The sequence below is a fragment of the Homo sapiens genome, chromosome 5 (genome assembly GCF_000001405.40).
Source record: "Homo sapiens chromosome 5, GRCh38.p14 Primary Assembly".
Lineage (NCBI taxonomy): Eukaryota > Metazoa > Chordata > Mammalia > Primates > Hominidae > Homo > Homo sapiens.
Genome location: NC_000005.10, coordinates 62357321 through 62380890, shown reverse-complemented (window position 1 = coordinate 62380890; position 23570 = coordinate 62357321). Strand labels below are relative to the sequence as shown.

The 23570-nt window shown below is 36.6% G+C and overlaps 1 protein-coding gene across 4 annotated transcripts in view; it reads right to left on the bottom strand.

Moving 5' to 3' along the window:
• KIF2A (kinesin family member 2A) overlaps positions 1–23570 on the bottom strand; it is an 84820-nt gene that overhangs the window by 10135 nt on the left and 51115 nt on the right. For 3 of the 4 annotated variants that reach the window (NM_001243952.2, NM_004520.5, NM_001243953.2), the window contains 11 exons: positions 23146–23200; positions 22592–22754; positions 19559–19649; positions 19362–19425; positions 18350–18441; positions 17571–17713; positions 16992–17196; positions 15538–15648; positions 14410–14477; positions 7054–7204; positions 3129–3230 (listed from right to left, as the gene is read on the bottom strand). In NM_001243952.2, coding sequence (NP_001230881.2) covers positions 3129–3230; positions 7054–7204; positions 14410–14477; positions 15538–15648; positions 16992–17196; positions 17571–17713; positions 18350–18441; positions 19362–19425; positions 19559–19649; positions 22592–22754; positions 23146–23200 — 1245 coding nt within the window. Of the gene's footprint in view, positions 1–3128; positions 3231–7053; positions 7205–8339; positions 8454–14409; positions 14478–15537; positions 15649–16991; positions 17197–17570; positions 17714–18349; positions 18442–19361; positions 19426–19558; positions 19650–22591; positions 22755–23145; positions 23201–23570 lie in introns of all 4 variants that reach the window. The other variant, NM_001098511.3, reaches the window with a different exon arrangement.

Below are 23570 nucleotides of genomic sequence, written 5' to 3'. Positions count from 1 at the left end.
GTTACGCTGAGTATGCCTGCCTCTCCTGCCATCCCTTCCACCTCCTCCACTTCTGCCAGCCCTGAGACACCAGGTCCAGCCTGCCTCTTCCTCCTCAGCCTACTCAATGTGAAGATGATGAGGATGAAGACCTTTATGATGATGCACTTCTACTTAATAGTAAATATAATTCTCCTTTCTTACGATTTTCTTAATACCATTTTCTTTTCTCTAGCTTACTTTGTGGTAAGAATACCTTATATCACATATATAACATACAAAATATGTACTCATAGACTTTTATGTTATTGGTAAGGCTTCTGGTCAATAGTCAAGTTTTAGGGGGGCTCAAAAGTTATATATATTTCCAACTGTGCTGGGGGTCAGCATCCTTAACCCCCTGCAGTTTTCAAGGGTCAACTGTATGTCCTCAAAATCTAACACAAACACATGAAAGATGGGCTGAGCAACATCATTTCATTTCTCTATCTTTACTCTACTTTGGATGGGAATTTTGGGGAGGGAATGCATCAAATACATCAATATTAAAGAGGAGAGTAAGTCTCAAAACCTCAATATCCATCCCTAAAACGGGAAGAATGTGCATAATAAAGCTACTGAGCACTTTGATGGGGGCTATGGTAGCCTAGAACCTGACAAACTAACATATCCAATTAGGGACTCACAGTGGTTGGGCCAAGAGGTAATAATAAATTCCAGCTGGGCATGGTGGCTCACGCCTGGAATCCCAGCACTTCAGAAGGCTGAGGCAAGTGGATCACTTTGAGGTCAGGAGTTCAAGATCAGCCGGGCCAACATGGTGAAACCCTGTCTCTTCTAAAAATACAAAAAATTAGCCAGGCGTGATGGCACACGCCTGCAATCCCAGTTACTTGGGAGGCTGAGGCAGGAAAATAGCTTGAACCCAGGAGGCAGGGGTTATAGTGAGCCGAGATCGCGCCATTGCACTCCAGCCTGGGCGACAGAGCGAGACTGTCTCAAAACAAAAAACAAAACAAGACCAGATCTTTCTGAATTAAAGAGCTATTTGGACATAAAAGCTCTTATACGTGGATTTGCTTTTAGGATGCATACAATCTCAATTTTCCGAACATCAATTGACTTTAATGACTAATTATAATTAGACTATATAGCACCAGACAGAACTGGTTAACATAGGTATGTGTCTTGATTAGGAAACATATTAATTAGAAAATGCAAAAATACTCCAATTTTCCTTTTTTTTTTTTTTCCTGAGTTTCACTCTTGTTGCTCAGGCTGGTGTGCAATGGCACAATCTTGGCTCACTGCAACCTCCGCCTGCTGGGTTCAAGCAATTCTCCTGCCTCAGCCTCCCAAGTAGCTGGGATTACAGGCATGCGCCACCATGCCCAGCTAATTCTGTATTTTTAGTAGAGACAGGGTTTCTCCATATTGGTCAGGCTGGTATCGAACTCGCAAACTCAGGTGATCCACCCGTCTCGGCCTCCCAAAGTGCTGGGATTACAGGTGTGAGCCACCACGCCTGGTCATACACTCCAATTTTTCTTTCCTTTTCCTTTAGCTGTACACTTAATTTTGGTTTAACAAAACCTTATTTTGTGAAATGGCAGATCATAATACAGAGGAATGATATAGAGAATTGTAAAAAGAATACTGGGTTGAAAGTCAGAACACCTAATTTTACCAATAAACAGCTGTAAGATTTTATCTAAAAAATGGCAGAGTGGGAAATGATGGTCTTTATAGGATACCTTGTTCCAAAAGGGCACATATGACACTTTTCTTTTTGTTTTTAAATAGAGATGGGGTTTTGCCATGTTGCCTAGGCTGGTCTCTAACTCCAGGGCTCAAGCAATCCATCCACCCTGGCCTCCCAAAGTGCTGGGATTACAGGTGTGTAATTTTCTTAAATTATTAGCATCCGTTCTCTACTTAAACACCTTGGCTTCTAAAGAGAGTCTCATAATAACAGTTTGACTAAAACTCTAGAGTTTTTGTTTTTTTCTCACTCTGTTGCCCAGGCTGGAGTGCAGTGGTGTGATCTCAGCTCACTGCAACTTCCACCTCCCAGGCTCAAGGAATCCTACCTCAGCCTCCCGAGTAGCTGGGACTACAGGCATGCTATACCTCACCCAGCTAATTTTTGTATTTTTTGTAGAGACAGGGTTTCACCATGTTGCCCAGGCTAGTCTTGAATTCCTGGGCTCAAGTGATCCACCCTCCTGGGCCTCCCACAGTGCTGGTATTACAGGCATGAGCCACTGCGCCTGGCCAAACTCTAATAGTTTTAATGAACGTGTATCCTAATCTGACATAAAGTGTTCTCTGTCATTTTTGAGCCCTTTATCCAGGTTCTTGAATGGCCTAGAGCTGAAGTTCCTTTGTTTAATGACAAAGATTCCTTCAACATCAAAGAAGGAATACAAGTCAACAAGGGAGGCAGTTATTGTTTTTTTCTCAAGAAGTGTTCATAGTATTACAGGAGGGTGGGGGCGGCTGCCAGTCAATTGTACAGTCTTCATAAAGATGTCCAAATGATATCTTCACTCCCTCAAATATCACCATGATAGGACATTTTCTTGTTTAAAAAAAGGGGAGTAGAGTATCATATAGTAAATACTTTTAACAGGTTGAATGCATAATGGAATGAATGCCTAAGGAGTTACTGCTACAGGTGGTGATATAACACCCTTCCCTTAACTTGCCACTGACAGCTCAGAGCAGTAACTCTCCATCTCCTGAAGTAAGTAGTCTCTCTTTTCTGCAACAACTGATACTTCCTCAACTGCTCCAAAACCCTTTAAAAGAGTTTTTCTTAACTGCTATCAAATACATTGGCCTAACATTTAGAAGGAAGTACTGGTGGGCAGAAGTGACACTCTTCCCTAAAAATGGACAAATGACAAAAACCAATAAGGGGGACGGGAGGTAAATAAAGTAGAACGTTTCACCATGGTGCAAAGAAATGTTATTTGTAGCCATCGTTCATTGTATTAAAAATTTGCCATGTCACATGCCCTACAAATACACATATACATATATACAAACAAGTATTTTTTAAGGAATAGTGTGATATTTAAGGAATTATGACAAATTCTTAATTTATCTCAAGAAATATTTTGAAGGAAAGTCCTGTCTTACTTTACCTGGAACACTGCCCTGTGATCTTCTACAACTTGTTCTTCCATTTCTACCATTTGTGAAACAGCTTCGTGGAAAGTAAACAACTGTGGAGAGACTTCTTCTTCCTTAAAATAAAAATAGTTAAGAAATTATGATATAGTGTGTATTTTAAATGTTATAAAAGTAGTTTTTTTTAATTTAGAAAAATATCATTTAGAAATTGAAGAGGCTTGAATGGTAAAGGCTAGTAAAATATATATAAAAGGCAAAGCCACGATTTCTTTCTTTGGGTAAAAATATTTATGCAACTCTCAATAAGACAACTAAAACTTAGATGAGTAGGGAATATTTTTCACTTAGCCTAAGCTTTATTGCCGAACTATGCTGAAAGAGTACTCTCTTTTGGAACAGCCCAACTTTTCAAAAATACAGTTATTGCAGGCTGTAAATGTATGAAATATTTCCTCAGTATTGTCTACTTTTCACTAACAATTTAATTTACATGTTTAAGTTTCTTTTGTTAAAAAAGATATGAAGATAGTATCTTTAGATGATGTAAAGAAAATGTCTTTCATGACTATCAAATTAGTGTTGTAAAGGACTTAACTCTTAACTAATTTCTTAAATATACTACAGAATATATTTATACCAGTTTTTATAGAAATTTCAATGGACAATTCACAATTTTACTTCATCAACAACAAAAAACATATAGTTGACTCTAGAACAATACATGTTTGAACAGTGCTTGTCCACTTATATCTGGTTTTCAACCAATGCAGACTGAAAATACAGTATTTGAGAGATGTGAAACCTTCATATTCAGAGGCCCAACTTTTCATATTTGCAAGTTCCACGGGGCCAGCTGTGGGACTTGTGTATGCGCAATTTGGGTATATTCAGGCAGTCCTGGAACCAATCCTCCATGTATAACTGAGGGACAACTATATACAATATATTCATATTTTCGTCCTATAGCAAGTCAGAGCTTCTCTGATTCCAGGCCATGTTCAGATGATGATTAAAAAACAAAACAAAACAAAACAAAAAACAAAAAAAAACTTCGGCTGGGTGTGGTGGCTCACTCCTGTAATCCTAGCCCTCTGGGAGGCTGAGGCGGGCGGATCACTTGAGGTCAGGAGTTCGAAACCAGCTTGGCCATCATGGTGAAACCCCGTCTCTACTAAAAATATAAAAAATTAGCTGGGCATGGTGGTGTGCGCCTGTAATCCCAGCTACTCGGGAGGCTGAGGCAGGAGAATCACTTTAACCCGGGAGGCGGAGGTTGCAGTAAGCTGAGATCGTGCCATTGCACTCCAGCCTGGGTGACAGAGCAAGATTCCACCTCAAAAAAACAAACAAACAAACAAACAAACAAAAAAAACTTCTCCGATCTCTAGAGCGTGTCTTAGATGCTGTTCCATTTTAATCTACTTTGTTAAGACAATATAGCAATAATAATATGTACACACGCACCAATACTTAACTAAAGGCTAATGCTGAGTCATGGCAAGATAATTCCCTGGGTGTGGCAAAGGTGACAGAAATGCACACTCTCTCAAACATGGAGGCTGTAAAAACTCATGATGTCATACTCCCCTGGATTAGTTCTGGTCATCTAACCTCTCCAAATTAAGGCTCTACAGAGGCCCAATAGATGCAATAATAAAATGGAAAGATATGTATAGGGAGTACTTATCTTGCTCTGGTTTTCCACATCTTTGGGAGGTAACATATCTAGATGCAATGCAGGGTTTACTTTAAAGAGTCTAAAAGCAACTACAGTCTCTCTTAAAAATTCTGGACATAAGTGATGGACTGAGGCCAGAATCTCATTTTTAGTTTTTATGGTTCAAAGTTTAGAACTCTTAGTTTGAACCAGGTTTTTCCAGTCTTGGAACTACTGACATTGTATGGGGATAAGGTGAGGGGGACACTCCTGTGCACTGTATGATGTTCAGCAGCATTCCTGGCTCTACCCACTATATGCTAGCAGCATCACCTTAGTTGTGACAAGCAAAATATCCATACATTTTGCTTTGGGGGCCAAACTGCTCCTAGTTAAGGACCACTGCTTTAAGCCCTGCTTTAGTAACAGTGATTTGGAACATGGTAACAAAAAGTAGTAAGTGTATCTGTTACTCTAGAATATTTTGGGCTAAGTATCTGCTACAAAGTATTAGAACTAACTAACATTGTTTACAAAGAATACTGTATTGCAGGAAGCAATGAGTTTAATTGATACAAGGTTTGGCGCTGGAATAAGATCTAAATTTCAATCCTGGCTTCAGTACTTACTACTTGTAAAATCTTGGTCAAATTATTTAAACCTCAGAATATCAGTTATAAAGTAGGGATAATTATAGTACCCACTACAATGAGTTGTGATAATGAGATCAGATAATAAATAAAATGCTTAGCAATGTATGTCATGTAGTAAGCAACTAATCAATGCTAACTTAACATGATGAGAAAATGCCATGATAAGACTTAGTGGGAATAGAATGACACCAAACTATGCAGAATATGCATTTTAAAAACACACCTTTACATCTCACACACAGAAAAGAACCCTCTCAATACATTAAAAGCAATTATGTGAAAGTGTATTATATATACCTTTTTATTTCTTTATCTCTTTCTATCCTTATACAATGGGCATGTATTTATTTTTATAATTGGGAAATCAAAAATTTAAATTATAAAGTATCATTAAAAATTTTAATCATACAGAAAAGCAATCAGATTTAACAAATGTTAGTATTTTGCTGTTTGATTTTAATATAGTGCATACATCCTTTCAATATAGATGCATATGTCCACAGTTCTTTTGTTTCTAAGCTTTAAAAAATTTTTTTTGAGATGGAGTCTCACTCTGATGCCCAGACTGGAGTGCAGTGGTGGGATCTCAGCTCACTGCAACCTCCACCTCCCAGTTTCAAGCGATTTTCATCCCTCAGCCTCCTGAGTAGCTGGGACTACAGGCGTGTGCCACCATGCTCAGCTAATTTTTGTAGTTAGTAGACACAGGTTTTACCATGTTGGCCAGGCTGGTCTTGAACTCCTGACCTTAAGTGATCCGCCCACCTCGGCCTCGGATTACAGGCGTGAGACACCGCGCCTGGCTTGTTTTTAAGCTTTATAATATTTATTATATGTGTAATTTTTAAAGTTGTTTTCCCCTATATTACTTTAAATTTTTCCCAAATTTTAATAGCAGACAAAAATCTGAGGGAAAAAAATGAATGGTTTAGATTGGGAGTTGGAAGTTGTTTTTCCCTATATTACTTTAAATTTTTCCCAAATTTTAATATCAGACAAAAATCTAAGGGAAAAAAATGAATGGTTTAGATTGGGAGTTGGAAACTTCCTTAAAGGGCCAGATAATACATGTTTTGGGTTTATGAGCCAAACAGTCTCTGTTACTGCTGTTATGGTAGGTAAGAAAGCAGCCAGACAACACTTAAGAGAATAAACATGGATATGTTCCAATAAAACTTTATTTGTAAAAATAGATGGCTGGCCCACAGGCTGTAGTTTGCTGACCCCTGACTTATTTACTCATTTATTTTAAGAGACAAGGTCTCGCTCTGTCACCTAGGCTAGAGTGCAGTGATGCTATGACAGTCCACTACAGCCCAGAATTCCTGTGCTCAAGCAATCCTCCCACCTCAGCCTGCCTAGTAGCTAGACTTACAGGTGTATACCACCACATCTGGATGATTTTTAAATTTTTTGTAGAGAAAGGGTCTCATTAAATTGTCCAGGCTGGTCTTGAACTCCTGGCCTCAAGCAGTCCTCTCACTCAGCCTCCCAAATTGGTGAGATTACAAGCTTGAGCCACCACACCCACAGCCTGACACCTCATTTAAATGATAGTTTTCAGTTAAGTTCTGCTACTGATGAAATGAACTAAGATTATAACATTTACAACCATAGTACACTCACATTTTGTTCACAAAGAAGTTTTAGATCATCTCTCTGAGGGGAACTCCCCACACCCCACTGTGTCTCTAAGTCATCAATCTGGTTTGGTGGATGGTGCATTATTGGACGAACATCACCAGCAGCAGTTGGATCTACAGTCAATTCTTTGACCCTATAAATACATAAGAGGTATCTAAAGTTAAAAACACTCATGCAGAGGAACGAGAAAATACCAGCCTATTCAATATACACGCAATTCAGTTAACATACTAAGATTGATGATGTCACCTTTATAGGTAAAATTTATCTGAAATCTGTAGAAACACTTAAGTGGTTGTTTAGTTTTAGGAAATCTGCTTAGGTAACTTTATATAATTCATATTATATTATATCAAATATAATTATTGTGTAAATTAAATGAGAACAGTATGTAGATTCAGTATTCAAAGAAAAAAACTTGTTATGATTTAAAAAATTTTTTAAATTTTCCATTTTATTTACTACTGGCTCATCAAAGTTGATGTTATTGCAATTAAATTATATGAACAGAAAAATGTAAACAATAACAATTAGACCAATAAATGGATCACTGCTGAAACAAAACAAAAAAACCCTGCAGATTTCTGGTAGTTATCATGCTCAATTAAAATAGCTACATGTAAAATAATTTTATTTATAATGTATAAAGATTATAAGATTTTAAGTTTTATCATTTGAAAAGTGTTTACTCATTATATTTAAACTTACACATTTGGGAAAGGGTAAACTTTCCTTACTTTAAAAAAAATTTTTTTTTTTTTTCACCACTTGGCCAGGTTGGTCTGGAATTCTCAACCTCAGGTGATCCACCAGCCTCCGCCTCCCAAAGTGCTGGGATTACAGGTGTGAGCCACCACGCCCGGCCAAAAGAGGGTAAACTTTCTATGTCAAGAGGCTCCTTGCAGACAAGGAAACTTATAAGATCATACAGCATAAAGGCAATCTCTTCATTTTAAGCAAGATAATTTATCTTTTAACAATTCGATGGTAAGTATGGTAATTTTAATGGTAAGTATGCAAAAGTGACATCATCCTTAAAAATATGAGGGGGAAATAGGAAGCCTGAATTCTAAATCAACATTTTAAAGCAAACAAATTAATAAAAGATGTAAGAATGCAGATCATGCAGTACAACCACCACCTGCCAAATGAAATGACAATGAAAACTAAAATGGCTCAGGACAAAAATAGCAAATGAAATGTTTATACAAAGCACAATTCAAAAGAAAGTATACAAATAAACATCTTATGTATAGAATGAAGTAGACCTGGTAACTGAAGGAGAAAAGTCGTCATATTCATAAGAAGGAGAGAGATCAGGGCGACTGCCACTACCCTGTGAGAAGGGAATGTCTGATGGACTAATTCCAAACTCCTTTACTCTGCAGCACCAAAAGAGCAACAAATTAAAAGAAAATGCTCTTGAAAGACAGCAATGCACATTGCACATTTTCATTTAGTATTCACTTTTGTTTAGAAAAGGATATTGATATTGTTGTGACAATGTATTTAGAATATTATTTTACAAATAACAAATTTTAAGAGGTTTTTGAACATCTTTGTTCTATTGATCCCCTGCTCTATAGTCCTAAGTCTTTCCTTTCTGGTGTATTTTCCTCTTTTCTCATAATCCTTCCTAGAAGTTTAACTAAGTCACTTAAATCTGAAATGCCCCCCTAACTACATGACCACTCAATCTAATTTCTTCATGTAGTCAGTACCATGACTATTTGTTTATTAGCATTCATGAGTCTTCAACATTTTTGCAGTCTTTTCCAAACAGGACACAAGGGAATTAAGTCCTAATGTCTTAAGGCATCCATTGTTTGTAATGAATTAACTTCTTTCCTATGCATCCAGAATGGCATTAGCTGTGAAATGTCCTTGGTATAACTGAGAAAATATTCACTCTATTTTCAGTGGTTGGTGATTCAGATGAAGAACTCTGGTTGAGAACAGCCTTTAGCAATGAAATTTAAATTGCTTTTGCTAACATCTTCAATAGTTATATTTAACCAAATTATGACTTTTCTCACCCCATCTATGTAATTCCTTATGTCTCTTTTGGGCCAACCCTATTTCATACCCATATAAAATATTTATTAAGTACCTCCTGTATGTCAGGTATTAGGATTAGTCATTTTTAGGCATTATATTATTTAGTCCTTCAACCATCTTTGATTTTATAGATGAGAAAAATGACTCAGAAATAAAGTATCTTCTCTAAGGTCATTCACTGAGAATGTGGCATAACTGAGGTTAAAACCTAGCCCTGAGTACAAAGCCTATGTTATTTAAACACTTCAATATAATAACCATATTCTCTGATTTTCTTGTCATTTCTCTTAGGTTGAACTAAATGAAATTCCCTTCTTTTTAGGTCAAAAACAAGTATCAATATCTTCATATAAATCAAACTAATATGTTTCCTCTACTAACAGTCTTTCTTTGACCTATTGGTTAATATCTACTGTCAAAGGTTCAATATTGGATTCATCTGCCTTTTATCCTTAAAGTTTATTTACCACACATGCTGAAAAATCTAAATATGTTTTTTTTCCTTTTTGAGATAAGGTCTCACCATATCACCCAGGCTATACTGCAGTGGCTCAGTCATGGCTCATTGCAGCCTTGACCTCCTGCTCAAGTGATCCTCCCACCTCAGCTGGGACTATCACTGGTGTGCCACCACCCCCGGCTAATTTTTTATTTTTTTGTAGAGATGAGGTCTCGTTAGGTTGCTCAGGCTGGTCTCAAACTCCTGGACTCAAGTGATCCTCCTGCCTCGGCCTCCCAAAGTACTGGGATTACAAGCATGAGCTACAGCGTCTGGCCTGAAAAATCTAAATTTCTAATACAAACAACTATTTTCACTCCCACCCCATTTCTTATCTAAATCTTTTAATTTAGACACCCTATTAGCTTCATCCACACATTTTTTCCTCTATCCAAAGCCCTCTTGCCCAAGCCAGACTATACTACATACAAGAATCACATTCTTCAAACATGTTACTAAAAACTCCTAATCACTCTAATCACTCTTCTACCCAAGACCCAATCACTCTAACCTCTTCCATTACCCAAAGATTAAGTATCTCTGCTTCAGGATAGAGGCCACTGTCTATTTCTCATATATCCTATAAATTTTTTTTCCTTGAGACAACCATTCCTTCCACTCTGAAAGTTTTCCCTTGTACTCTCCTCTAAAATATCTCTAATTGTCTGGCTGGGTGCAGTGGCTTATGCTGTAATCCCAGTACTTTCAGAGGCTGAGGCGGGCAGATCACTTAAGGTCAGGAGTTCGAGACCAGCCTGGCCAACATGGTGAAACTCCATCTCTACTAAAAAATACAAAAAAATTAGCTGGGCGTGGTGACGGGCGCCTGTAATCCCAGCTACTCGGGAGGCTGAGGCAGGAGAATCGCTTGAACCCCGGAGTCAGAGGCTGCAGTGAGCTGAGATTGTGCCACTGCACTCCAGCCTGGGTGACATAGCAAGACTCCATCTTAAATAAATAAATAAATAAATAAAGTATCTCTAATTGTCATCTGATGAACTAGACTTGTCAACTTAATCACTTAGCAGCAATGTGTACTGTTACAAACTATCCCACAATTCCCATATAAAACTTTCAAAGTATATGATTCTAATATAAGGATATGAAAAAACATTGCTTTCACATCTGTCTAACCGAATTTTTTAGACAGAACTGCTCACTAAAGTAGCAATAGGGATAACTATTCCTATTAATATATCCCAGGTACTGTGCTAAACATTTTACACAGATCACTTCTTTTAGTCCTCAAAAACAATCCTTTAAGATGGACATGGTCATTAGCTGTCTATTCTAAAGATGAGGAAATAAAGACAGAGAGAGGTTAAGTAACTTTCCCGAGGCTTTGATACCATTAAGTAGTAAGGAAGTTATTAAACCTATTTTGTCCTGAGAAATAACACTTCAATCACTAAGCTATGTCTTAAATACAAAAAAAGTTTAAACACTTAAGACAGAAATAGTTTCCTAAAAATATGAAATTTTAATGTAATGCCACCTACCCACCACCTCAAAGTATTGGCCTAAAAAAAATAAGGCAGATTTAGTATAAAGGAGGAATGAATTATTTTTGGCTGTTAAAAAAAAAAATTACTGACTCTTAAGGTCACAAAACATTGGTATGAGTATCAAGGAAGGTTAAAAATCTTTATTCCTAGAGATTTGGAAATAAAATTGAAACAATTATGTGTCTGATATGGTTAGGCTTTCTGTCCCCACTCAAATCTCATCTTAAATTATAATTTCCATAATCTCCAAGTGTCAAGGGAGAGACCACGTGGAGGTAACTGAATCATGGGGGCAACTTCCTCCAGGCTGTTCTCGTGATAGTGAGTTCTCACAAGATCTAATGGTTTTATAGGAGGCTCTTCCCCAGTTTGCTTGGCACTTCTCCTTCCTGCTGCCTGGTGAAGGTGCCTTGCTTCCCCTTCACCTTCCACCATGACTGTAAGTTTCCTGAAGCCTCTGTGGCCATGCTGAACTGTGAGTCAATTAAACCTTCATAAATTACCCAGTCTCGGGTATTCCTTTGTAGCAGTGTGAGAACCGATTAATACAGTGTCCCAGATGGTTAGTCATGTTGCAAGTGAGTTACATGATATAACAGTAGGTTAAAACATTTTACTTTGACCTAAGTGAACTAGAGGAACAGCTAGATATAGCATTTTCACAATATTAGGGAGGAATCTTTTGTAGTTTCAAATCTTAAGAAACAGAGGGGTTTTGTTTGTTTTAATTCTACAACATGGCAAGAATCTATTACACTAGGCTGTTCCTCATCTTTCTCAAGAATTATTCTGAAATAAGAAACATTTTAAATTAATGATAAAAATCCCACATATCAAAAACGTTAATTACCAAGATCAATTAAAACTAACACAATAAGGATTTGCAGCTAGGAGCTCATAATTCAAACTTTAAAGGGATTAAATTTACAAAATATAATAGTTCATACTTAGAAATGTAGTTCTATTACTTTTTTTTTTTTTAAGACAAGGTCTTGCTCTGTTGCCCAGGCTAGAGTGCAGTGGTGCAATTACAACTCACTGTAGACTCAACATTCCAGGTTCAAGCAATCCTCTCACCTCAGCCCCCCAAGTGGCTGGGACTACAGATGCATGCCACCATGCCAGGCTAATTTTTGTATTTTTTATAGAGACGGGGTTTTGCTATGTTGCCCAGACTGGTCTCGAATTTCTGGGCTCAAGCAATCCACCCGCCTGGGCCACCAAAAGCACTGGGATTAAAGGTGTAAGCCACCGCGCCTGGCCCTATTACATTTTTAAAGAAGTGATTATATTTTAATCACTTTTTTTGCAAAAGCTCAATAGGTTGATATTGTCCAACAGTGTTTACTACCATTAAGAAAATCCCTTTAGAAACAAGATGCAAAAAAAACCCGGGGGGTTATAATACCATTGTGTAATGTTCAAATCAGCTACCTATGTTACTCAGAAATAGATTCATAGTAAAATTATTTTTAAAAAGAGGAAAAAAAAAAACAAGAAAAGTATTCCACAGAAGTTAATCCATGGGTTACATCAGGGTAGAGACAGATGAATAAGGCATGTTATTCAGGATTTGTGAACAGGAAGGAGCACATGGGGAACCTTTTGGGGGGCCAATAATGCTCTATTTCCCAAACCAATGACAGGAGTTTTTACTTTATAAGTATCCATTATCCATTTAATTAATCACTTATACTTTAGGTACTTTTCTATATGCATAAGTATTTTACATTTTAATAAAAGATTAAAAAATAACATTTCCATAGTGATTAAAACAAAGATATAGGACAGATACTTTTATCCAGCAAAATTAAGAGAACTGCTATACTTGAATTAAGAGAACTGCTATACTAGAAATGGATTACAAAGAGGAATTTTGTCTCTAGGTTAAAATCACAAATTTAACATTTGAGAAGAGAAATTTAACACTAAACAGTCATTCAAAATAAGAGCAGTGGTAAATAAAGTCACTCAAGAGCAGTGGGAAAAAAAAATCTATGGATCAAATATAAATATGCCCATTATAATTCAAAGTTCCAAAGGCATTTCATGACTATACAGAATAAACTGCTTTAGTAGTCTGTAATGCATTCTGTCCTTCTATCTGTAAAAACCCAGTTATAATGTTTATAATGTTTATAAGACTATTAATATGAATAACAAAATGTAACCCATATAGAACACCAGAAAGGGCCAGGCGGGGTGGCTCACGCCTGTAATCCTAGCACTTTGGGAGGCCGAGGCAGGTGGATCACCTGAGGTCAGGAGTTCGAGACCAGCCTAGCCAACATAGTGAAACCCTGCCTCTACTAAAAATACAAAAATTAGCCGGGTATGGTGGTACACGCCTATGGTCCCAGCTACCCAGGGGGCTGAGGCAGGAAAATCGCTTGAACTCAGGAAGTGGAGGTTGCAGTGAGCTGAGATCACACCACTGCACTCCAGCCTGAGTGACAGAACAAGACTCTGTCTCAAAAAAAAACCAAAACAAAAAACAAAAAAAACACCAGAAAGAACTGTGCTATCACTTCTTACTCAAATCCTAGATTCCCCATATAGAGCATTTAATATTATCAGGAATAATATGCAACATATACCAAAACAATTCAAGAAATACAAACTGGCCCCTGACATTCATTTACTTCAGAGTCTTAATGTAATAAGAAGAATTTGCATGATTTAAATGCAGTAAAATATTAGGAAATAAAACAGTGAAATGGAAACCTTGTTCTAGGATAAAAAGACCAACTTTACTAAAGTTATCAATCCCTTCCCAAATTACCCATTTCCACTTATTTTTAGAATTTGACAAAATGATTCTATATTGTCATCTTAAGGAATAATATGCAAAACATTTTTTTCTTGAAAATTGAAAGAACAATGTAGTAAGATTTACCCTATCAAATATTAATTTTTTTTTTTTTTTTGAGACGGAGTCTCACTCTGTTGCCCAGGCTGGAGTGCAGTGGCGTGATCTCGGCTCACTGCAAGCTCTGCCTCCCGGGTTCAGGCCATTCTCCTGCCTCAGCTTCCCGAGTAGCTGGGACTACAGGCACCCACCACCATGCCTGGCTAATTTTTTGTATTTTTAGTAGAGACGGGGTTTCACCATGTTAGCCAGGATAATCTCGATCTCCTGACCTTGTGATCCGCCCGCCTGGGCCTCCCAAAGTGCTAGGATTACAGGCGTGAGCCACCGCACGAGGCAGATATTAAATTATACTATGTACTGCTGTACTCCCCTCAAATTTCAAAATGGAGAACTATCTCTCATACCTATTTGCATATCTTAATGTATTAAGAGTATTTTCACAGGATGCCATTCCTGGAGAGATTGTGGCAATCTACAGGAAAAAAAAAATGCAAAGGTAAACAAAATGTTATAAATGATCAAGACAATAATACTGACATACAGCTCATTTAGGTCTAATCTTACCATGGTTATTTAAAAATAAAGACTTATTAATGATATCTCAACTCCAAGATTATTTGTTATCATATCTATAATCAGATAAAGTCTAGTTAAAATACAAACTCTGAAGGCACTAGAAAACAATCAAACTCCAGCTGAAATGGAGGAGGTTAATACCTGGAAGGGAATAGTACTGACTGACCCCCACTCCACCTGACTTTTTTTTTTTTAAACAGCTTTTTGACAGAGGGCAAGCTTTGCTGCTGTCACACAGGGCAACTAAAACTTGACTGAAAACTTGCAGTCTCTCTGGTAAAGAAATGAAAGGATATAGTTTGGGAGTGGAGTTCATAGCAGCTGGAAAAGTGAAGTTTGTCCCAGAAGGGAAAGTGCTGCAGAGAGTGTGGTACTCTCCCTTCTGGGACAAACTTTTATATACAAACTGCCCAAATCCCTAGCTGATTCCAGACCTAGACATATATTATACAAGGCAAACTATAAGCAACATAGCTAAATCTGAAAGGACTAAACAAAGCTTTCAATTCCAGTTGTTGCCCAGGGGAGATAAGAGTTTGGAGCAAGTTTAGTTAAATTTCTGCTATACAAAAAACCAATAATCTTCAGAAGAACATAACAGAATCCAGTCTCTATGTTCATTCATAATGCACATGATATAACCCCAAATTACCAGACATATGACCATAAAGAAAAGTGTGACCTATACTCAAAAAGAAAGAAAGAGAAAGAGAAAAAGAAAAAGAAAAAGAAAATCAAGAAAGACCAGCCCTCAATAACACCTAGATGCTGGAATTATATAACTGCAATATAATCCTCTCTATCAGAGTGGCAGGGACCACATCTTAAATATCACCATATCACTCAAAATAGAAGGATTCAAATAATTGTCACTAACAAATACATTTTCCATAAATATTGTGTAGTTATTCCTTTAGGATTAAAATAAAACAAACAAAAAATAAACATAAACTTACCATGCAGGTACGAGAGTTTTCACCTATGAAAGAATCTCTTAACACCTGAGTGAGTTTACTTGCACGGAAAGGAGTATGAGGTTTATTTCTACCTAAGGCTCTGATGCACTCCTGAAAATTAAGAAAACAAGTCTCACAGATTAGTCTTTCTTATAAAGGATAATCTTAATTAACATATTTTAAAAGGTCTCTTACTACAACTTGAACATTTAAGGGTCTGATCAGTTTTGAAAATTCTACTAACAGTTTTATTTTTTTTTTGAGACAAAGTCTCGCTCTGTCACCCAGGCTGGGGTGTGGTGGCGCAATCTTGGCTCACTACAACCTTTGTCTCCAGGCTTCAGGCGATTCTCCTACCCCAGCCTCCCAAGTAGCTGGGATAACAGGCGCCTGCTACCACGACTGGCTGTTTTTTATTTTTAGTAGAGATGGGGTTTCACCATGCTGACCAGGCTGGTATCGAACTCCTGACCTCAGGGGATCCACCCGCCTCGGCCTCCCAAAGTGCTGGGATTACAGACGTGAGCCACTGCGCCTGGCCAACAGTTTTAAAGCATAGTGTAGATGTTCCCATAAATGCTAATTCAAGAAAATAAAAAATGACAGCAAAAAAACCTACTTTATTCTTCCAACAGATATTTCTGGAAACTATGACTAGTGTTTGAAAGTGACAGGCAGTAGGATAACTGTAAAAAGTTAATTTCTTAACATGGCACTCCAAAAGAAAAAAACACAGAATGCCTTATTTTAGTCTTTCCAACCTTTGGTGTTCTACTCAAGGAAAAGATGTAATAACCTGGCCTAACATTTTGAAAGCCATTCCACATTTTTCTGAGAAACTGTTTCTTAGCTCAATTCAGTGGTTCGTTGCCCTCCTCCTAGAAAATATGACTAATTAAGACCCTCTGGGCCGGGCGCGGTGGCTCACGCCTGTAATCCCAGCACTTTGGAAGGCTGAGGTGGGTAGATCACGAGGTCAGAAGTTCAAGACCAGCCTAGCCAACATGGTGAAACCCCATATCTACTAAAAATACAAAAATTAGCTGGGTGTGGTGGTGCGTGCCTGTAATCCCAGCTCCTGGAGAGGCTGAGGCAGGAGAATGGCTTGAACCCAGGAGGTGGAGGTTGCGGTGAGCCGAGATTGTGTCACTGCACTCCAGCCTGGGCGAAAGAGCAAGACACAGTCTCAAAAAAAAAAAAAACCTCTGGAGTTTACCTATGTAGCCCCAGAACTGACCTACTAACTCACATATCCTTTATCCCATCTAAAAAGAATAAAGAATGTGTGCAAGGAAAAAATCTGGGTATAATAAAATCACACTATACATTACAAGCATCTGAATTTTGAAAACCTCTTTTTATTAGGTAAAACAAGTACTACTATTTTGCAACTGAGTAAAGAAAATTAAAGTCAAAAGTAAAAGACCTTTCATGATAAAATACATTTTATTTACCTTGAGTGCTAAAAGGCTTTTATTAATTTCAGCACCTTCAAGCCTAGTTTGCCTGTCCGCACTGGAAGTATCAGCTCCTCTTTCATTTCCAGCCAAATCAATGAGAGAAAATTTGCCATGTAGTTTTCCTTTCCTTCTAAGAATAATCTGAAACACTGCATGGCTCCGAGATGAATGTGCATTTGCAGATGTTTGACCGGATGTTCTACAATGTGATTAAGGACATCTTGATACATTAAAAACTTCAATTTACATGTTCAAACCACATTATTTTCATTAAAAACAACAGCAGCAAAAACATCGATTTAGCTAGTTTTCATCTTTTAAATACAGATGAGACACTGAGTTATAACACTTAAATAGAACCAGATTCATACAATTTAATCCGGCATATTTCTAATATATTTGTAATGTAGTATCAATATAATAATTGTCACTCACATTTACATGTAACACAAGTTTTTATGAACAATGATTTTTACTTCCAAGATGTATTGATAGATAACATCCTCATTTTGTTATACTGTACCCAAAGTTTCTAAAACTGATGTTTCCTTTCTTAATCAAAATGAGATTTACCTGCAACTGTTGCCTATGTCAATGAGTTTCAGTACATCTTCAACACATTTGACCTCCCGTTCCTGTAATCCCACCACTTGAACCTGCTGTTTTCCATCTTCTAGAACTCTTAATTTTGTTTTCCTGTTTAGCAAGTCAAACACCTATGAAAAACCATATTCAAATTAGAAAACTAGCTTTAAAGTAAAAAACAGGCTAGGTGCAATGGCTCACGCCTGTAATCCCAGCATTTTGGGAGGCTGAGGCAGGAGGATGGCTTGAGCTCAGGAGTTCAAAACCAGCCTGGGCAACATAGTGAGACCTTGTCTCTGCTAAAAATAAAACAAATTAGCTGGGCATGGTGGTGCATGCCTATAGTCGCAGCTACTAGGAAAGCTGAGGCGGGAAGCTCACTTGAGCTCAGGAGATTGAAGCTACAGTTAGCTGTGATCATGCCACTGCACTCCAGCATGGGTGACACAGCGAGATCCTGTGGCAATTAAAATATCAGTTCTATAAAAATGAGTCACCCAGAGTTTAAGAATTATTTCAGAGATTAAAATAATAATTGGAATAAGAATTCTCAACACTGAAGTTGAAAAGTTTCAAAGGACTTTTTAAAAAAATCTCATAACATAAATTCTAATATAAAAGTTCTAAATACACATAAATTATGGTGGTAAACGCTGCACAACAATGTGAATATATTTAATGCCACTGAACTTAAAAATGGTTAAAATGGCAAATGTTATGTTATATATATATTTTAAAAAATTAAAATTAAAAAAGTTCCCACTTACCTTTCCACTATAAATTTCAAAGAAGGTTGCATATACTTGAAGTTCTAGCTTCTTATAGTTTGGCTTCTTTAGCATTAAAAAGACATCTCGAGCTGTCAAAAATTTCATATACAGAAAATTGAGATCCAACAAATATTTTTAAAAAGCAACTCAAATTTTCTATTTCTAGAGGAATCAGTTACTCTTTACCTAGGATAACAGTATCAATAATAAAAATGAGAAAGTGAATATTAATTTTACAAAAAATAGTATTAATAGAAGCTATTCTCTTTCATATGCCATAAAAGGGTGCTACTTTTATTTATATATATTAATATTTATATTTATAAATAGCATAAAATTATAGGTGGTCATAATGAGGTTATTCTTATACCATAGCTAGTAGCTTTTTACAGTTCAGAAATTCAACAATTGAGACTCATCTCCAACAATGTGCTAGAATGCACTGACAAATATAATCAAGATTTCTGCCCCCTCAAAATCAATCTTACAGTTCTTTTTTTTTTTTTTGAGATGGGGTCTTGGTCTGTTGCCCAGGCTGAAGTGTAGTGGCATGATCTTGGCTCACTGCAACCTCTGCTTCCTGGGTTCAAATGATCAAACAATTCTGCCTCAGCCTCCTGAGTAGCTGGGATTACAGGCGCCCGCCACCACGCCTGGCTAAGTTTTTTTTTGTATTTTTAGTAGAGATGGAGTTTCACCATGTTGGCCAGGCTGGTCTCGAACTCCTGACCTCAAGTGATCCACCCACCTTGGCCTCCCAAAGTGCAGGGATTACAGGCATGAACCACCACACCCAGCCTACAGTTCTTGTCTTCTTAAAAAAAAAAAAAATTATTGTGAATATATAATCTTATAGTTCTTTTCAAGCAATCTAATAACCTATAATTGACATAATAGACAGTTAATATAGCATTATAGTTGCTGAACAATATTTTAAAGCCTTATTTCAAAGTTACCTGAATAATACCACAGAAGAATATTCCAAATTTTATGGAAAAAGGACAGTTACCTGCTAATGCATAAATTCCTTTAGAACAATCTTGGTTCTTTCCTGAAAAGTCACCACCCATAGTCTATATTTTAAAAAGAAAATAAAGAACAGACATTACTCAGGAATAACTCTTAAGAATTTAGTTCACAGAATTAAGCTATAAGGAAAAGAAACTGTAGCTTCGTACCAGAATGTAACTTTAATAAATTACTTACATGAGTTTTTCCACTTCCAGTCTGCCCATAAGCAAAGCATGTAGCCATTCCCCTTTCAAATATAGTTTCCACTAGTGGTCTAGCAGTAAACCTTAAAAATAAAATGCATCAGTCAGAATGTGTCACCAATATTTTGATGAATAATAGTAATGCTGAGTAATACAAAGTATTTTATTAATAAATAAAACTTAATAGCAAGATTCTAAACAAATCTTTGTTAAAAATTTTAAATAACAATATCGAAGAATTGATTTAAGAATTTTAAATATCATATGCTAAAATTACTTAAACTACTTAAAGCATAATTTCAAGCAATATTTCCATAATAAATAATGGTCACAATAAGGCATATACAATAAAAACAAACACAAAGTATTATAATTTCAACAGAAACAGAATAAACAAGAGTGGTAATCTCAATTTTAAAAAGTTAATAGAGGAAAAAAACTGCAAAAATATTATCTATAGACCATCTAAATAAATAGAAAAATGTTGATTACCTTGAATTTAGACAAGTAATTTATACTTAAGCAAAAAGAATATAAATTGTGCTTGTAGGAAAATGAATTCTATTAGTAAGTTGACACTCTCAATTTAGGAAAAGGATACCTAAATATTATGGTTTGAATTACATTTTTTTTTTTTTGAGACGAAGTCTCGTTCTCGTCCCCCAGGCTGGAGTGCAAATGGCGCGATCTCAGCTCACTGCAACCTCCGCCTCCCGGGTTCAAGTGATTCTCCTGCCTCAGCCTCCCGAGTAGCTGGGATTACAGGCACCTGCCACCACACCCAGCTAATTTCTGTATTTTTAGTAGAGACGTGGTTTCACCACGTTGGTCAGGCTGGTCTCAAACTCCTGACCACAGGCGATCTGCCCGCCTTGGCCTCCCAAAGTGCTGGGATTACAGGCATGAGCCACCGCACCCGGCCTTGAATTATATTTCAAATGTATTGGTATAACCCACTGCTAGAGTTAAAATAAAAAGGTGGGAAGGTATAAGAAGTACTTTTCCCCTGAGCAGTACACTAAAAAGTATGATGGAGGCCAGGCGTGGTGGCTCATGCCTGTAATCCCAACACTTTGGGAGGCTGAGGTGGGTGGATCACTTGAGGTCAGGAGTTCGAGACCGGCCTGACCAACATGGTGAAACCCCGTCTCTACTAAAAATACAAAATTAGCTGAACGTGGTGGCACACGCCTGTAATCCCAGCTACTCAGGAGGCTGAGGCAGGAGAATCGCTTGAACTGGGAGGCAGAGGTTGCAGTGAGCCGAGATCATGCCACTGCACTCCAGCCTGGGCGACAAGAGCAAAACTCAGCCTCAAAAAAACAAAAAAAAAAAAAGATGGAAAACAGATCTACAAGTAGAACATTTTATATAACTGCTGTCTTTGTTTTGTTTTGTAAAAGGCAAAACTGAAGAAAGTACAGAACAAAAGGAGCAGGAAAAAGTTCTGGTCAAACAGAACTAGGGATGAGCCTGCTAAGTAGATCAAACCCCTACCTCCCAACCCTACCCACAAAAAAACATGTAACTCCTCAATCCATAATAGTTAAGTATAAGAGATAGAGGAGAAGGATAAATATTGATAAAGTTAAGAAACATAAACATAGGGTAAAAACACAATGTTTACTAAATCATACACACAGAAACATGCCTGTATTTGTAATAATTTCTTAAAAACTATTATAAAAGTCAAACTTATATTTTATGAGGCAGGAGTAGAAAGAGGGAATGAAAAGGAAAAGTGGACTCTTCAGAAAGCTAAAAAAAAATTCTACAATTAACAATTATGATTCCCCTTTAAACATATTCTTCACAAATATCTCTATCTAGTATTCATATGTCCTTTAATTTGATCCTTTTTTTTTTTACAACTGACTACCCAGTACACTTGGTGAAGACAAAAAGAGTTGGTCTCAAAAGTATTTCCTTTGTAACACCTTCAATTCTTAGTCTCATTAACTCTAATTTTTTCCTTTCTAGGCATTTTTATGAAAAAGGGCAATCAGATATAGTATTCAAGCAATTACAAAGACAGTAATATTCCTAGATAAACCAAAATAACAATACTGCTAAAACTGGTGTTATAATTATTAGAAATGAATGTTTGCAAACTTACGTATGAAAATCTAAATCTGGCATAAAAATTTGAGATACCAATGTATAACACAGATAAATTTGAATTATTTTTAAGTTGAATACAGAAAACATACAAGAATCTCATGTACTAAAACTATCTCCAAGCTTAAAGATGACAAATTTAAATACAAGTACGGAACTTTTTCGCCTTAAGTGACAATACATACTAAATACAGATTTAGATAAATTAATAATTAACTGATAACAGGTATTTTGGCCAGGCATAACAGTGGCTCATGCCTGTAATCCCAGCACTTTGGGAAGCCAAGGCGGGCAGATCACTTGAGCTCAGGAGTCTGAGGTTAGCCTGGGCAACATGGCGAAACCTCAACTCTACAAAAAGTACAAAAATTAGCTGGGTGTGGTGGTGCATGCCTGTGGTCCCAGCTACTCAGGAGGCTGAGATGGGAGGATCACCTGAGCCTGGAAGGTCGAGGCTGCAGTGAGCTGTGATCGTGCCACTGCACTCCAGCCTGGGCAACAGAGCAAGACCATGCCTCAAACAAACATTTCAAGTTTCTTTATTAGTACAGAGATTAAAAGGTAAAAATTAAAAGTCTTCTTATCATATCCTATTCCTAGAGGTAATGTTAACATTTTCCCGAAATTTCTTATCCATATACATGGTTTGTGTGATATGTATATATATGTATATATATGTGTAATAAGCTAATTAGCAAATAGTAATGGAAACTATGATTTTGGGGAGCATTACAGAGAACAAGTGTTAATATTCATTACAGCATTTATTACATTCTCTTTGTTTAAACTCAGAATAAAACAGCATATTGCACCTCTTAAGAAATATCCCACAATCAATGTAAATTTCAAGGTGCTGATGACCACATGGCATAAGAACAAAATTCTGATTTAAAATGAATTTACCTACCTGTAAACCATTTCATTAGGAGCTGAGTCATCAAAGGCATAATCAAAACGAAATGTTTGGTTTTCTAGGTACCTTGTTAAATCTACTTTTTGTTTTGGTTCATGTACCATCACAACATCTTTACTAGGAATTGTGATTACATCAAGATCTTTCATTTGAGTTTCTAAAAGAATAAATGAAAATCAATGCCCAATAATTTTCACAGCATTTGAGTTCATGTACAAAATTATTTTAAGTAGTAAGAACTAAGATACAAGTAGTAAGTTCTGTACATATAAAGATAATATCCCATAAAAATGCAACTCACTAAGACAAAATATTTCAACAGCAAAGTAAAAACAAAATCAAGATTTCTGTGAAGCAAGACTCGGAATGGCAATGATTCAGAGCAATAACAAACTGACAAGTTTAGCCATAGAAATCTGCATAATGGTTACATACAAATCAAAGGAAATGATTTACATTTTTTCCAAACCAATTTGATTTGCTATTATAAAAATACATTACAAATAAGATAAAATCAATCTTTTATTAGAGCTCATTAAGTGCCATACCTTTTTTATTGAGTGGTCGTTTTCTTACACACACACATATCCTATGTTCATCAATCTAGAAATAAAAAGTATTTTATTTCAGTGATTATTAGTGTCATGTAAAACACTAAAACGTAAATTATGTAATATTTCCTCCAGGGGTTTTAGAAATTTATACATAGCATAAATGATAGGTAAGCTTAAAAAACAAATTAGCTTTGCACAAATTTTAATGGTTGTCAGATATAATTACTTCTAAAATTCTGAGTGTAATGGAAACTTGCTTATTTTGTTATTTGGAAAACCATCACTTTAGGAAATAATTCTGTAGAGGGTACTACTATTGTTAGTAGCATTAAGTTCACATTAAGAAGCTGTGAGGAGGCCGGGCATGATGGCTCATTCCTATAATCCCAGCACTTTGGGAGGCTAAGGTGGGCAGATCA